General features: G+C 40.6%; 1 protein-coding gene across 5 annotated transcripts in view; it reads right to left on the bottom strand.

Annotated features, from left to right (window-relative positions):
* The window catches only part of ZNF382 (zinc finger protein 382), a 28802-nt gene that overhangs the window by 8478 nt on the left and 3101 nt on the right, over positions 1-17223 (bottom strand). For 2 of the 5 annotated variants that reach the window (NM_001398490.1, NM_032825.5), the window contains exons 3-4: positions 15584-15735; positions 14895-14987 (exon numbers count right to left, since the gene is read on the bottom strand). In NM_001398490.1, coding sequence (NP_001385419.1) covers positions 14895-14987; positions 15584-15722 — 232 coding nt within the window. In that variant the 5' untranslated portion in view covers positions 15723-15735. Of the gene's footprint in view, positions 1-14894; positions 14988-15583; positions 15736-16135; positions 16170-17223 lie in introns of all 5 variants that reach the window. The other 3 variants (NM_001398492.1, NM_001256838.2, NM_001398491.1) reach the window with 2 other exon arrangements.

Genomic DNA, 17223 nt, shown 5'->3' with positions numbered 1-17223 from the left:
AGTGAGCCGAGATTGTGCCATTGCACTCCAGCCTGGGCAACAAGAGCGAAACTCTGTCCCCCCGCCCCACCCAAAAAAAAAAAAAAGATAAGTGAGCAGAAGAGAAAGAATGAAGAAAGAGGGATTCTACTTGGAATGGAAGATTCAAAGCTGCTGAAGTGAGCCTACCAAGGGTGCTGAACAGTAGGCAATGTGACAAAAAATTATTTAGGAAGAGATGAAAAGCTATACATTTATCCCCTCACGACTAAATGTGTTATAAGTGCTTCCAATTCTTTCTTCTTCACTTGCATTTAGCCCATGAATGGTAAATGAACTTTCTCAGCTCATTTCCTAGTGTTTACAGAAACATTAGTCTACAGTCTAGGCCCTAGATGTCCATATAACCGTAATTTATTTTCTCTTGAAAGCAGAGAATCTGGAAAACATATTCCCATGAGGAATTATAAAATACAGCAAAAGACAAAATATATTTCCAACATGAATATAATCACTGTTGTGTATACATTATATATATATATATATATATATATATATATATATATATTTAAATTCATTTTTATTTTTTTGAGAAAGGGTCTCGCTCTGTCCCCCAAGCTGGAATACAGTGGTTTGATCCTGGCTCACTGCAGCCTTGATCTCCTGGATTCAAGCAATCCTCCCACCTCAGCCTCCCAAGTATCTGGGGCTACAGATGTGTGCCACCATATCCAGCTAATTTTTGATTTTTTTTTTTCACAGACGGGATCTTCCTATGTTGCCCAGGCTGGTCGCGAACTCCTGGCCTCAAATGATCTTCCAAAAGTTCTGGGATTATAGGCATGAGCCACAGTGCCCGGAAACTGTAGTATTCTGATTGCTGTTACCATCAATTTATTCAATTTATTCTGCCAGAGATGGTCAATAATGAAATTCTCCTGACCAACAATTCTAACTTCATTCCTTAAATTTGCCAAATTACTTCTTTTCAGCTTTAGGGAAAGATAGGTTTGAGTTTTCCTCCCAATACATCACCTACCTTAACTCTGCTATTCCCTACTGGAGCTGTAAAGGACTGGATTCTTCAATGTATGTGCAGAGCACTGATTAATCTTAACTATTTAAAAAAAATTATTGTATATCTTACTATTGTTGCCTTACTACCATCCATATTTGGGAGGGCAATTTAAAGATGGATTCATCTTACCTATGATTAACATTGTTATTTATAATAGCCCCATACTGGGAACAGCCCAAATATCCATCAAAAGATGAACAGGTAAAACTGTGTCATGTATTACACAATAGAATACTACCTCAGCAACAAGAAGAAACAATGCTGATACACAATGACAACAAGAATGAATCTCAAATATTTTGCAGAGTGTAAGCTTTATGAAAAAGAATACATATTATACAATTCCACTTATGTGCAGTTTGAACACGTAAAACTAATCTGTATTGGTAATTGGAGTTACATTGCCTCCCTAAGAACTTCAAACACCTCCAAGTATATGCTACTATCCGATTTTTCATAAAGTTTTCACATAGTCTTTCCTTTTTTTTTTTGAGACAAAGTCTCACTCTGTCACTCAGGCTGGAGTGCAACAGCGTGGTCTCAGCTCACTGCAACCTCCGCCTCCCAGGTTCAAGTGATTCTCCTGCCTCAGCCTCATGAGAAGCTGGGATTACAGGTGCCCGCCACCACACTTGGCTAATTTTTGTATTTTTAGTAGAGACAGGGTTTCACTATGTTGGCCAGGCTGGTCTCGAACTCCCGACCTTGTAATCCACCCACCTCGGCCTCCCAAAGTGCTGAGATTACAGGTGTGAGCCACTGCGCCCGGCCCCTTTTTTTTTTTTTGAGACAGAGTCTCACTCTGTCACCCAGGCTGGATTGCAGTGGCACAATCCCGGCTCACTGCAACCTTAGTATCCCAGGTTCAAGTGATTCTCATGCCTCGACCTCCTGAGTAGCTGGGACTACAGGTGTGTGCCACCAAATCTGACTGATGTTTTTTGTATTTTTTAGCGGAGATGGGGTTTCACTGTGTTGGCCTGGTGGGTCTTGAACCCCTGGCCTCAAGTGATCCACCTGCCCTGGCCTCCCAAAATGCTGAGATTACAGGAGTGAGCGACTGCTCCCGGCTAAGCTTTCACATAGTTTTTCTACCTTTCAGTATCCCGTCTGTCTGAAATTGTAATATAATTATGGTCTGGAACATTCACTTCCAGATATTTTCCAACGGCCTAAGATTTTAACACGATCATTCTATGTAAAGTCCTCAATTTGATAATACAGTATTGCTTTCCCAACTAAAACTCATGTTTTTGGAGGTCAACATTTTATTGACGATTTTCTCTAAAATCTTCTCAGTATACGTTTACACACTGTTATCTGAAGTTAGGGGATAAAATGCTGGCAGGTACCCCTAAAAAGAACTTAGTAGTAAATGATTTCTAAATGGATGAGAAAGACATTTTCGCTTGCATGGCACGACAATCAATAAGATAACTACTGGATACATGGCCTCTGTTACAAGCTGCAGTAAGGAAAGGCAAATGAGAGGACCTTATTTTGGGGAATGATTATAACCAAATAGAGAAAGAAATGTCATATAAAACAATGTTGAATTAGGTACCAAATTACTAGATCATATCAGAGGACGTGTCTGCTCACATGTTACAGATGTCAAGTACAATGGAATGCATAAAAAACAGAAATAGACATAGTCTATACAGTAGTCAAGGTATTTCATGGAGGAAATGAAACTTGATTTTTTAGCTAAATGATATATTATATAGTATTGTGTGGTAAAGAATTTAACCCTGCCAAATGAGAGGCCGAACCTTTAACTTCAGTTTCAGGGTGGTAATTTTTAAGGCCTTTGAATGTCATGGCTAATAGGAGTTTATTTGTTTGCTGGGGAGTCTTTGGCTGGCCAGACAGTAACAATATGATTTAGGGTAGGGGCTTTGAGTCATGCAGCAAGCATCAGCTCAGCTTCCTAAGGCGCTGGAAACTGAGCTCAGCCACATGGGCAATCAGGCCTATTTGATGGAGCCCCAATAAAAACTTTGGACACTGAGGCTGTGCTGAGCTTCGCTGGTTGGTGGTACTCTGTATGTATCGTCACATAGTGTTGCCAGGATTGATATCCATGACTCCACGGCGATAGGGCGACTAGAAGCTGCATGTTTGGCACTTTCCCAGACTCTGCCCATTTCCTTCTTCCCTTGATTGATTTCAATCTTTTCCTGTAGCAAACTGTAACTGTGAGTATAACAGCTTTCACTGAGTTCCATGGGTCTTTTCAGCAAATTATCAAACCTGGCCGGGTGCCACCGGTGGCTCATGCCTGTAATTCCAGCACTTTGGGAGGCCGAGGTGGGTGGATCACTTGAGGTCAGGAGTTTGAGACCAGCCTGGCCAACATAGTGAAACCCCGTCTCCACTCAAATACAAAAATCAGCAGGGTGTAGTGGCACATGCCTATAATCCCAGCTACTTGGGAGGCTGAGGCATGAGAATCGCTTGAACCTGGGAGGCGGACGTTGCAGTGAGCCAAGATCACGCCACTGCACCCTAGCCTGAGTGACAGAGTGAGACTATCTCTCAAAAAAAAAAAAAAATTATCGAACCTAAGGGCAGTCTTGAGGATCCCTGAATTAACAGCTGCTATCAGAAGTAAAGGCAGTCTTGGATGGATTACTGTACCCTCTAACTTCCTAGTTGGCTAATTTTGCAAGTATATATGGAACATATAGTATCCATCATATAAGGAAAGGTCCAGCTGTGATGAATAAAACCAATTACAGTTTTCCCTCATTATCCAATCTAAGGGGACAGGTTCCGAAATCCCCAAGGATACTAAAATCCAAAGATGCTCAAGTCCCTCATATAAAATAGTGTAGTATTTGCATATGACCTACACATATCCTCCTGTATACTTTGAATCATCTCTACATGACTTATACCTAATACAGTGCAAATGCTATGCCAACAGTTGTTATACTATACTGATTTTTATTTGTATTTTGTGTGTGTGTGTGTGTGTGTGTGTGTATTTTTTTCTATTTACAGTTGGTTGAATCTGCTGATGTGGAAGCCATGAATTCGGGGGGCTGACTGTATATGAAGTATATTTAGTAGTCTTGAACAAATAGAGATTATCGAAAGTTCTGAGTCACAGACAGAAATACATTTGGAATGACCAAATCGGGTATGATCCTGTCACCCTTGAAAACAGAGGGATTTAAAGTTCATATTAAAAAGTGTTATCTTTTTAGCATAATGACAGAAAAAACTGGAAAAAAAAAAAAAAAAAAAAAACTAGGGAAAAATCATGGCAAATCCAAAGATTAATTACAGTAGCCCACACCTGAAATGATATGGCTCTCATTTTGGAAGCTGTCAATGGCAAATCAGAATATAAGAAGATGTAAAGATATTTTACAGAGTGAGATAATATAACACATTGTGGAGAGATCATTAAGAAAGTATAACAGAGATGATGGACTCAATTTTATACTACTTGGGCTGATTATGGGAACAAGAGAATACAGAAACAAACAATAATAAATAAGATTATGGGAACAGGCCGGGCGTGGTGGTTCATGCCTGTAATCCCAGCACTGTCGGAGGCGAAGGTGGGCACATCACTTGAGACCAGGAGTTCGAGACCAACCTGGCCAACATGGTGAAACCCCACCTCTACTGAAAATACAAAAATTAGCCAGGCGTGGTGGCACGTGCCTGTAATCCCAGCTATTCGGAAGGCTGAGGAGAGAGGATCACTTGAACTCGGGAGGTGGAGGTTGCAGTGTGCCCAGATCATGCCATTGCACTCCAGCCTGAGCAATAGAGTGAGACTCCATCTCAATTAAAAAAAAAAAGATTATGGGAACAAAAGAATAAACAAATAAGAGTAAAGATAGCAATTATTATTTCTGATATATTGTAAACCAAAAAGGATAGGACAATTGATAGTCATATTTCTGTTGGCAGATTAAAATATACCACTACAGTTGACAAGGGAGAAATGGGCTGAAATGTCTATTTGAAAGCAATTCACATAAAACAAGGAAATCAATTTGAGAATTCATCAGATGATTGTAGCTTGCAGGACTTTCATAAAGTCAAGAACTGAGAGTGAATAAAATGCTTTAAGGACACATCAGAAAGGACCAATGAGAGGCCTAATGAAACAAGATTCATTTAGTCAACAAATATTTATTGTCCTAGACAAGGTACATAAAGGGGATAAAAGCAAACAAGATGTGAAAAGGTACTCAGGGAAATAGGATGAGAATGAGTTAGTATTTTTCACCCAAATCCCACAACTATCCCTGGCAGATATCAAGAATGATGCTCAGCATTATGATATGAAACATAAAAGTTTACTGGAAAGAAATTGTGATCTTCAAATTACCATTTTGGTCCCAGGCATATGGATTTTGGAACCTGGTGGTAGGTCTCATGGTGAGAATGGGATGTGAGACTCAGGCAGGAAACAAAGAAATAATCTTTCTTTGCCCAGGGAAAGAGAAGAAAGTGAAAACTATGAGGGAGATAGATATTAAACAATGATTTTTATTTTTCTGATAGGTTTAAGAAGGCTCTCTCAGGCCAGGCGCAGTGGCTCACTCCTGTAATCCCAGCACTTTGGGAGGCCGGGGCGGGCAGATCTCGAGGTCAGGAGATAGAGACCATCCTGGCTAACACGGTGAAACCCTGTCTCTACTAAAAATACAAAAAAATTAGCTGGGCATGGTGGTGGGTGCCTGCAGTCCCAGCTACTCAGGAGGCTAAGGCAGGAGAATGGTGTGAACTCGGGAGGCGGAGCTTGCAGTGAGCCGAGATCGTGCCACTGCACTCCAGCCTGGGCAACAGAGCAATACTCCATCTCAAAAAGAAAAAAAAAAAAACTCTTTTAATTTCTGAATAGTGTAACCAAGTAACCCAGCCTCAAACATACTTTAAAACATTTTTTCCTTTCTTGCTTTCAACGTTGAGACACTTTAAAACGCTTTGTCACCTTCTCACCTGGCACTTCCATGTGAACAGTGTTTACTTATCTAATTATGTGCTTGCTTAGGAATTCCAGGGGCCAATTTTGAAACAAACCAGGCAGAGACACCCAGCTGCAGAATCCTCCCCACTTAGTGGGGGTTACAAATAGTTAGCCCACCACTACCAGGCCAAAGTCAGAATGATGCAAACTGGACCTCCGGAAGAGCAATTACTCAAGATAAGCATCGGAACAAGACACACAGGCCTGTGCCCTCCTGCACCACCCTTTCCACATCCTTTCCTTCACAACCCCCTTCACTCAGCCCAAAAGGTAGAGATGGCTTCTTTGAGGCAGAAGCCTTGCCAACTCCCATCTGCTGGCATTTAATCAATCAAGTTGCTTTCCTTTCACCATTCCTCACTTCTCATGTTTTTGGTCTCTAAGCAGTGAGCAGCTGGACTTAGGCCAGTTACAATGCCATACACACAGACATATGCGCACAAAGTTCTTCTAAGTTCTTAATAACTTTAAGATTTTAAATATGTCTAAGACTAGAAAGTTTGAGAACTGCTGGTCTGGACATCTAGATTTATTTATGTATTTATTTATTTATTTTTGGAGACAGAATCTTGCTCTGTTACCTATGCTGGAGTGCAGTGGCGCGATCTACCTCCACCTCCTGGGTCCTAGCAACTTGTGTGCCTCAGCCTCCTGAGTAGCTGGAATTACAGGTGGGCGCCACCATGCCCAGCTAATTTTTGTATTTTTAGTAGAGATGGGGTTTTGCCATGTTGGGCAGGGTGGTCTGGAACTCCTGGCCTCAAGTGATCCTCCCGTCGCAGCCTCCCAAAGTGCTGGGATTACAGACATGAACCACTGTGCCCGGCTGACATCTAGATTTTGGTAAGACAAAGAAGTTTGTATCAAAACAATCCTCCAGCTGATAAAAAAAAAACCCACTTATTTGAAGGCACTAAAGAATGACCAAAAGTAGCCAGAAGCTGAAGTGGATGCAATCTTTGAAAGAAAGAAACCACACTGCATAAGAGCTACATTTAGCCAGGTATATGTTCTCAGTAGTTCAGGCAGCACAGAAGAGATAGATCTCCAGGAGAAAGCACAAGTCATCTGTATAGGGGAATCAGAGGTTAGAGTTCAGAGCTACCCTAACTTGAAGACAAAATCTGGGAATGGAGAAGTCAAAAAAGCAGAGCCCCAAAGTTGGCATAAGCCATCCTCAAAGCCTTGGTTAACTACATTGCTGCAGGGCAAGATTGCAAGGAGCCCAAAGAGGAAAGAAAGCTAGAGCCCTGAAGGAACTGAGCAAAGAGTTCAGTGGCTGTTTAGCTCTGAAAAAGAGTTTGCAATTCTAGCCCTGTGACAACAAGAACCTTGTTAAAACCTTGGTCCCAATATAAGCAAACTGGAAATGTTATAATAAAAGAGAGTAGTTCAGCATGGATTCATGAAGACCAATATGGGGCAGTCCCTTTCTGGTATTTTTAAATGCACTGAAAATTTTAAAGCAGAGTGGAAAAACAGGCAAACAAAACAAAACAAAAGAACAAAAAATCCTGGTCCATTCATTTTTGTCCTGGGCTAGGTGAAAACAAAACAAAGCAACAAAGCACAACAATCTTGGTCTTTCCATCGAGACTCCAGAAGGGCCACGTTTTAGGAGTAAAGACTGCATCCCAGGACTCAGGACAATACCATAAAACTTTAACCAATTAGGCCCAGTCCTTGGGCATGTCCACCGAAGGGCCCAGTTTTAGCGAGAATTCTGTCAAGTCGGTTTAGCTGGAATCCCCCACTCTCAATATCTGATATCTCTCCTCACCAACCCCTCCAGGTGATATCTGATCACCATGACCTGCTTTCAGTAGGAATCCTGGTAGGTCAGCTAAGCAAGATTACCCTATCCACTCAGTAATTTCCCATCACTGCCCCCTCCCACAACTATAAATTTCCTCTCTTCCTTATCGTATTCAGAGTTGGCCCATTCTCTCCCCAGTACTTCAAAACCCCATTGTAGCAGTCCCTGAGATCTGCCTTACAAGTGTCAGGATAATGTTTTTCTTTAGTATTTATAGTAACACAGCTTGGATAGGAACAGATTGATTATTGGACCCCTTGGCATCTCACCCAGGACCCCAAGTGCACACCTTTTGAGCCTTGGTCTTCACTCCTGACTGACTGGGGACCCACTGGTGAGTCAGACTCCTGGTCCACTACTCTGGACAAACTCCCATTGAAGCTGGTACAACATTTTGATTCCTTAGATTCTGAGCATACTCTAGAGGCTGGGTTAGAATCCTAGGCTCCTCTTGTTTATATGAAGTTGGGTTACAGGCACCGGCTTCTTTGTTTAAAAGGTACCTGCTGGGCTAGAAGTCTTTCTTCCTGGGTTTTTCTTTTGGGTGGGAATTTACTTCCTGACTCTCAGGGCTAGAAAATTCCTGACTCTGTGAGGCCTGTTTGATCCTGTTTCTCCCATGGGAACTTCTCAGTTGATTGATGGTGTATGTTCCCCTGTTGGTATATGCTCTGCCAACTCCCTCTACTTCCTTTCTTCTTGGCATTACTTTACTAAGGATTCTCTACACTGGCTCCTGTAAGACCTCTCTTTTCCCACTGCTCCACTCCTCCTTCCTCCTCTCACCACCTCTGATTGTCCCTTCAGTTCCCCTGAATCCTTTGACAGGTGGCCCTTCAGAACTCCTCCATCCCTCTGTCCACCCTGCTGACCTTTCCCTTCCCACTGTAGCCCCTACAGTCACTTGAACTTTAGGTGCCCTGCCCCACATTGGGGGCACTCAAGGGGCCCCCAAAAGAAACTACCTGCAGCTGAGAAGGACAAAAGGGCTAACTGGAAACAAAGTGGATATTTTATTCACTCAGCCAAGCTTTGGAGACATCCAGATAGCTCAGTTGCTCACCTAAAATTTAGTCCACAGCTTCCATAAGATTACATAACAGGGCAAATGAAAATCTGAAAATCTCTACAAATATTGGCTAAAAAGCATTAGCCCACATATTGAACAGCTAACCTTGTTCCATGTGTCAGAAACACTATTCAGATAAAAATATAAAGTGGAGCAAAGATGAGAGTGTAATACTATTTTACTGACTCCTGGCTAACATTTTAGAATGAAAGTTATAAGATCTCTGTTTGGGTCTGTCCGCCTATGTATGTCTATGTATGTATGTTATGTATATGTGATATTTTCTTACCTCTAGATGGTATTAATTAATTATTTAAACATTTTAGTTATTTAGAGACGAGGTCTCACTCTTGCCCAGGCTGGAGTGCAGTAGTGCATAGCTCACTGCAGCCTTGAACTTCTGGGCTTAAGTGATTCTCCTGCTTCAGCCTTCTGAATAGCTGGATCTACAGGTGCACACCACTGCACTGGGATACATTTTTTCAGAGACTGGGTCTTGCTATGTTGCCCAGGCTGGCCTCACACTCCTGGCCTCAAGCGATCCTCCTGCCTCAGCCTCCTGAGTAGCTGGAATTACAGGTGTGAGCCACAACACTTGGCCAAATTAATTTATAAACTCCCTTAAAGAGTTTATTCAAATTGTTTTAAGAGAAAAATGAGTGTTTATATAAGTGAAATGTTCCTAACACCCCCAGAAATGTAGGAACTAACCCAAAGGCCTTTCAAGTTCATGTGACTTGGGGTAAAATTTTGATAACTAAGATGAGTTTAATATTGTTGGTTTAATAAAAAGAGGTGCATCTATGAGCACATATTTTTATTCTACTTGGCTTTACTAGTCAAATAAGTTACTATTATATTTACTATGTTTAAAACTATAAAAACTATAAATTCAACTTAAGAAAAAAATGCACAAATAAACATATAGTAGAAATGAATTGTCTGATATCTATTATTTCATATACATCAAACACAGCAGGAAAACAAAACAAACAAACCTATGTATTTAACTTTTCAGGTTTTCTTGATTTGCCTTTAATTGCCTTTTACTTGTATGTGCTATAAAAACAGTTAACAAGGAAATGACTTGAGAGGCTGGCTAGTTTTGTTTAATGTATTATAAAATTTTCATGAACAATCCAAACATAATAAATACTATCTGTGTAGGTCAATATAAGTGGAATAAGAGTTTTGGATAAGCTCTTTGGATCTGTTAAACACTAAAAAATTGTACTATGAGGAAATATGTATCTATAAAGTTGTAAGATGATGTATTCATAACATTTGCCAATCTGTTATAGAATGCTAGTATGTAGCAGATAATTCACAACTATCTACTTCTTAGTTTACTCTGTTAAAAGGTTACTAATGGTTAAAATTATAATTACTATATGTAATTAAAACTACTAAAAATAGTCGGGGGGCAGTGGCTCATGCCTGTAGTCCCAGCACTTTGGGAGGCTGTGGCGGATCACCTGAGGTCAGGAGTTCGAGACCAGCCTGGCCAATATGGTGAAACTCAGTCTCTACTAAAAAAATACAAAAATTAGCTGGGCATGGTGGTGCCCACCTGTCATCCCAGCTACTCCTCAGGAGTCTGAAGCACAAGAATCATTTGAACCCGGGAGTCGGAGGTTGCAGTGAGCCGAGATCATGCCACTGCACTCCAGCCTGGGCGACAGAGAGAGACACTGTCAAAAAAAAAAAAAAAAGAAAGAAGGAAAGGAAAGGAAAGGAAAGGAAGGGAAAGGGAAAGGGAAAGGGAAAGGGAAAGGGAAAGGGAAGGAAAGGAAAGGAAAGGAAAGGAAAGGAAAGGAAGAAAGAAAGAAAGAAAGAAATGGTTCATTGCAACCTCCGACTCCCGGGTTCAAGCAGTTCTCCTGCCTCAGCTCCTGAGTAGCTGGGATTACAGGTGTGTGCCACCTGTATTCTTTTAGTAGAGACAGGTTTTTGCCACGTTGGCCAGGCTGGTCTTGAATTCTGACCTCAGGTGATCCACCCACCTCAGCCTCCCAAAGTGCTGAGATTACAGGTGTGAGCCACCATGCCCAGCCACTCTTACTATGTACAATAGAATCAGAAATATTAAAAGCTTAGAGAGAAACTTAATGAGCAATATGTAAGATTTCTATACCAAAAATAGGAATTGCTTTCAGGAATTAGAGAAGCTAACTAAAATGGAAAGTTATAGCATTGTCATGAACCACAGGACTCAATATTGCTAAGACATTAGCTCTCACTAATAAAAAACCTAGCACGTTTATCTAAAGAAATCAAGAAGTTGATTCCAAAATGAATTTGAGAAGAAAATGACATAGAATAGCTAAAAGTTGTTTTCATTTGTTTGTTTGCTTTTTTTGAGATGGAGTCTCACTCTGTTGCCCAGGCTGGAGTGCAATGGCGCGGTCTTGGCTCACTGCAACCTGTGCCTTCCGGGTTCAAGCAATTCTCCTGCCTCAGCCTCCCGAGTAGCTGGGACTACAGGCATGTGCCACCATATCCGGCTAATTTTTGTATTTTTAGTAGAGACGGAGTTTCACCATGTTGGCCAGGCTGGTCTTGAACTCCTGACCTCAGGTGATCCGCCCGCCTCGGCCTCCCAAAGTGCTGGGGTTACAGGCATGAGCCACCATGCCTGGCCCTAAAAGTTTTTAAAAAGCATAAAGTTAGAGGACTTACGCTAACTGACTTCCAGACTTATTATAAAGTTACAATAATCAAAGACCAGGTGGTATTGTCAATGTGACTTAAATTATGTCCAAGGAAACAACAGATTGTCCAAAAATAGACTGATACAAATGTGATCAATTTTCTCTATGATCACCATAGTAATTCAGTCAATAAATACTGATGGAACAAATTGATAACCATATAGAAGAATAGACTCTCGAACCCTACTTCACATCATAAACAAAACATGAGGTGGACCACAGAACTAATCTTAAAAAGCAAAATATACAGCCGGGCACAGTGGCTCATGCCTGTAATCCCAGCACTTTGGGAGGCTGAGGCAGGTGGATCACCTGAGGTCAGGAGTTCAAGACCAGCCTGACCAACAAGGATAAACCCCATCTCTACTAAAAATACAGAATTAGCGGGGCGTGGTGGTGCACGCCTATAATCCCAGCTACTCGGGAGGCTGAGGCAGGAGAATCGCTTGAACCTGGGAGGTGGAGGTTGCAGGGAAGCGGAGGTTGCGGTGAGTTGAGATCACACCATTGCGCTCCAGCCTGGGCAACAAGAGCGGAACTCTGTCTCAAAAAAAAAAAAAAAAAAGCAAAATATACAAAGAAATTACAGAGCACTATCCTCACCATACCTAGAAAAGAGAATTATCCTCACTATACCTAGAAAAAGACAAATATTTGTTTGAGAGGTCACATAATTAATGATAAAAGAAACAATGATTAAGTGAAATTCACCAAAGTTAAAAACTTCTGTTCATCAAAAGACACCATTAAAATGAATATGCAAGTCATAGACTAGGGAAAATATTTGTAATACATACATTGAACAAAAGATTTCTATCCACAGTATGTAAAGAATTCCTACTACTCAAGGAAAAATACATACTACCTAAATAAAAGATGGATAAAACATTTGAACAGGGCCAGGTGCAGTGGCTCACGCCTGTAATCCCAGCACTTTGGGAGGCCAAGGTGGGCGGATGACAAGGTCAGGAGTTTGAGACCAGCCTGGCCAAAATGATGAAACCCCGTCTCTACTAAAAATACAAAAAATTAGCTGGGTGTGGTGGCGCACGCCTGTAATCCCAGCTACTCGGGAGGCTGAGGCAGGAGAATTGCTTGAACCCGGGAGGCATAGGTTGCAGTGAGCCAAGATTGTGCTACTGCACTCCAGCCTGGGCGACAGAGTGAGACTCTGTCTCAAAAATTATCAAACAAACAAACGAACAAAGAAACAAACAAAACACTTGAACAGATGCCTCTGATATAAAATGCACTTGAAAAAGTTTTCAACATTATTAGTTGTAAGATAAATCTAAATTAAAACTGCGAAGTTATACAACCAGAATGGTCAAAATGACCAGAATGGACAAAATGAACATAAAATGTAGAAAAGAACGTGGGGCAATCAACATTCTCATACAGTGCTGATGAAAGTCTAAAATGGTATAGTAGTTTTAGCTACTAAACTACCAAACCAAAATGGTAGTTTCTAAAGAAATGAAATACGCATCTGCCTTATGAATCAGCGATATCGCTGCTACGTGTTTACTGAAGAAAAATAAACATGTATGTCCACAAAAATATTTTTACAAGAATGATTATAGCAGCTTTGTTCATAATAGGTCTAAACTAGAAACATCCCAAATGTCTTTCAACAAGAGATGCATAAACTGGTATACTCGTACAATGGAAAACTGTTCCACAGTTAACAAACTACTTATGCATGCAGAAACATGTATAAATCTCTCAGACATGAAGCTGAGTGAAAGAAAGCAGACATGAAAAAGGTTTGCAATAGACAAAATGAATCTATGTTGGTAGACATCACAACTGTGATTATCTTAATGGGAGGGACTGAGTTGGAAGAGGCCTGGTGGAACTTAATGGGTTAATGAAACTGTCTTTTATCTTGATTGGAGTGTGAGATACGTGGGTTTATCCTTCTGTCAGAATTCAAAGAACTTTACACTTTACATCTCTATGTACATTATACCTATAAAACATGGAATAGATTCTTGGTAAGGTAATAGCAGCAATATTTCCACAAACCCAGGCAAACAACGAAAAGATTTACATGGGGAGTGATATTCATACCTAAAATTTACATTTTAGAGGCATGAAAGTCAGCCATGTATAGGCACTTTACAGATCTCAGGTCTTTAAAAATAGATCACTAATAGGATGGATACTACGAAAATACAGAAAATAACAAGTGCTGGTGAAGAAATTGGAACCCTTGTACACTGTTGGTGGGAATGTAAAATGATGCAGCTGCTATAGAAAACAGTATGGTGACTCCTTAAATATAAACACAGAATTACCACATTATTCAGCAATTCCACTTCTGAGATTATACCCAAAAGAACTGAAAGCAGGGACTAAAACTGATATTTGTACACCCATGTTCATAGCAGCAATATTCACAATAGCCAAAAGATGGAAGGAACCCAACGGACCACTGACGGATGAATGAATAAGCAAAATATAGTATATACATACAACAGAATATTAATCAGCATTAAAAATGAAGGAAATAGATGAACCTGGAGGACATTACATTAAGTAAAATAAGCCAGTCAGAAAAAGGATAAATACTATGTGATTGCACTTACAAGAGGTACCTAGAGTAGTCAAATTTACAGAGACAGCAAGTAGAATGGTGGTTGGCATGGCTAGGGAGTAGGGATAAAGGGAAGTTATTTTTATTTATTTTTTTTTTGAGATGGAGTCTCGCTCTGTCGCCTAGGCTGGAGTGCAGTGGTGTGATCTTGGCTCACTGCAACCTCCGCCTCCCAGGTTCAAGCAATTCTCCTGCTTCAGCCTCCTGAGTAGCTGGGATTCCAGGTGTCCACCACCATGCCTGGCTAATTTTTTTGTATTTTTAGTAGAGACAGGGTTTCACTGTGTTAGCCAGAAATGGTCTCCATCTCCTGACCTCATGATCCACCCACCTTGGCCTTGGCTGTAATCCCAAAGTGCTGGGATTACAGGCGTGAGCCACCTCACCTGGCCAGGGGAAGTTATTGTTTCATGGGTACAGAGCTTCAGTTTTGCAAGATGAATAGTTCTGGAGATGGATGGTGGTGATGGTTGCACAACAGTGCGAATGTACTTGATGCTACTGAACTATATGCTTAAAAAGTTTAAGATAGCATATTTAATGTTATGTGTATTTTACCACAATAACAAAAATAGATCCCTAAAAACATTCAAAGGCTTCAACTACTTGACATTTAATGTTCACTAGACTTCATTTATAGACTCACCTAGGTAGCTGTAACTTGGAAAAATTCTCTGTGTCCATAGCTCTTCTCCTTGTTCCAACTTGCGGATCATATCAGGCTTAGCCATGTGAAACCCTGATGATGGAAAATGAGACTTTTGGTCTAAGCTGTTTCGACTTTAAAACTATTGAAGTAAGATAAAGATACAACTTCAAGGTAGTAAATGAGGTATACATTAATGTCTTACCAAAGTTAATACCTTACACTACACAAGTGATGATATAATCATATTTTCTTTTCTTTCTTTCCTTTTCTTTTCTTTTTTTTTTTTGAGACAGTCTCACTCTTTCACTCAGGCTGGAGTGCAGTGGTGCAATCTCAACTCACTGCAACCTCGTCTCCCAGGTTCAAGTGGTTCTCGTGCTTCAGCCTCCAGAGTAGCTGGGATTACAGGCATGTGCCACCACACCCAGCTAATTTTTGTACTTTTTAGTAGAGACTGGGTTTCACCATGTTGGCCAGGCTGGTCTTGAACTCCTGGCCTCAAGTGATCCACCTGCCTCGGCCTCCCAAAGTGCTGGGATTACAGGCGTGAGCCACTGTGCCTGGCAATATAATATTTTCTGCCAAAAAAATAATCACCTCTAATCCCTGAAATTCAAAGTCCTATATGTTTCAGGAATTCTTAGAAGGAGATGCATGACAGTGAAAGATTCAGGAGTGTTTCTTACCCACAGATACGAAGTGGCAATAGTTTTCCAACATCACATCCCTGTAAAGCGCCTTCTGAGCAGGGTCTAGTTGCTGCCACTCCTCCTGGGTGAAGTCCACAGTCACATCCTTGAATGACACTGATCCCTGTAAGGGCATACTCTAGTTCATCCTGAAGTGATCGGAAATGTGTGAGAACTAGATATTGGAGACCTAGTACTGACAATGTTTACTGGTCAGACTAGTTTCCTTATTTATGTTTTATATTGCATAAAATTCTCTCTGAAAATACATCCATTTGTATTTACTTATAATCTCATGCTAAACATACTGAGATCACACTATTTGTCCTGAATGTGACTGGTTGCCTGGTAGACCAAAATGAATAAAACCCTGACCCTGCTCATGAGAAGTTATAGGCTAAGAGAGGGGCATACATGTAAATACATGCACTTAGTAGGTTTTACAGATGCAATGACAGAAATACGTACAAGGTAAAGTGTCACAAAACAAGGAAAAATTTCATTTTGTACTCCGAGGCTTCATTGAGGACATAAAAGTTTTGTACTCACAACGAATTTGTTTTGTAGGAATACAGGGCATCAGCTTTTAAAAATTCATGGGGAGAAAAAAACCAGTTAGTAAATCAGGAAATAGCAAAAGGCACAGTATGTTAGGAAACAGTCTTTGAGCTCTAAGAAGGAAAAGGTATATGGAGATAGGCAATGGGGATATTATGACATGATACTAGATTTTTTTTTCCTACAGAACAGTGGTCTTAAAGATATACTGAACACATTCCCAACATTGTAGCTATTTATAAACCATCAATAGGCATTTATGAAAATCTACATTGTTAATGAATACTGCTCTCGAATGTAAATTGTTAGTATTTTATTTCCTTCCAATAGACCGTCTTATACATTCTACTGTGAGGCATGCCCTACTTTGGGTCTGTTGCTTTAAGGAATGTAAAGAACATCAATAAACATAAGTTGACACACGTTATGTGATAAAAGTTTTGAGGTAATACTCCTGAAGACTGGAAAAGGCTTATCACATGTTAGGTGGAAATGACAATTAAGTAACCATGGTTAGAAATGTCTCCTAGATTAAGGAAGTGTCAGCGGGCTGACAGAGGACAACTGCTCCTACATGACCACCATTACAACAGAGATGGTCGTAAATTGGCTGTAGAGTGGAAAAGATACAGGCATTTTATCTGCATAGGCAAATGCATGGCTGCTGGGACTAGAAAGTGAAAATGGGAAACGGAAGAAAATGTAAGCTGGACCAAAGGAAGTAATGAGGTAAGCTTTGGAAATGTACTTTGTCTGTGGAACATACAGGTGGTGATAGCTACTGGAGGTTGAATATTCGGTTCTGACACTCTGGACAGAGGTCTAGAGTGGAGAGGGGTATTTGAGAGTCACTAGAATCACACTAAGTGTAGCCTTCAGAGTGAATCTGATTGTGCGTAGAGAAAAACGGACTGTGAAGAAGAAGAGAACCAATTAGCATCTGAGGAAAACCAGTATTTTAAAGGTTGGTGGATGAGCTAAAGAGGAATTTTCTGAAAGATATGAAAAGAGGACAAAGTACTGTTTGATCAACAATAGAATATTTCAAAAGTGGCCTGGCATATGGATTTCCTTCTCCT

The sequence above is a fragment of the Homo sapiens genome, chromosome 19 (assembly GCF_000001405.40).
Source record: "Homo sapiens chromosome 19, GRCh38.p14 Primary Assembly".
Taxonomy (NCBI): Eukaryota; Metazoa; Chordata; class Mammalia; order Primates; family Hominidae; genus Homo; species Homo sapiens.
Note: the sequence above shows the minus strand (reverse complement) of the source record. Positions and strands in the feature narration are given on the sequence as shown.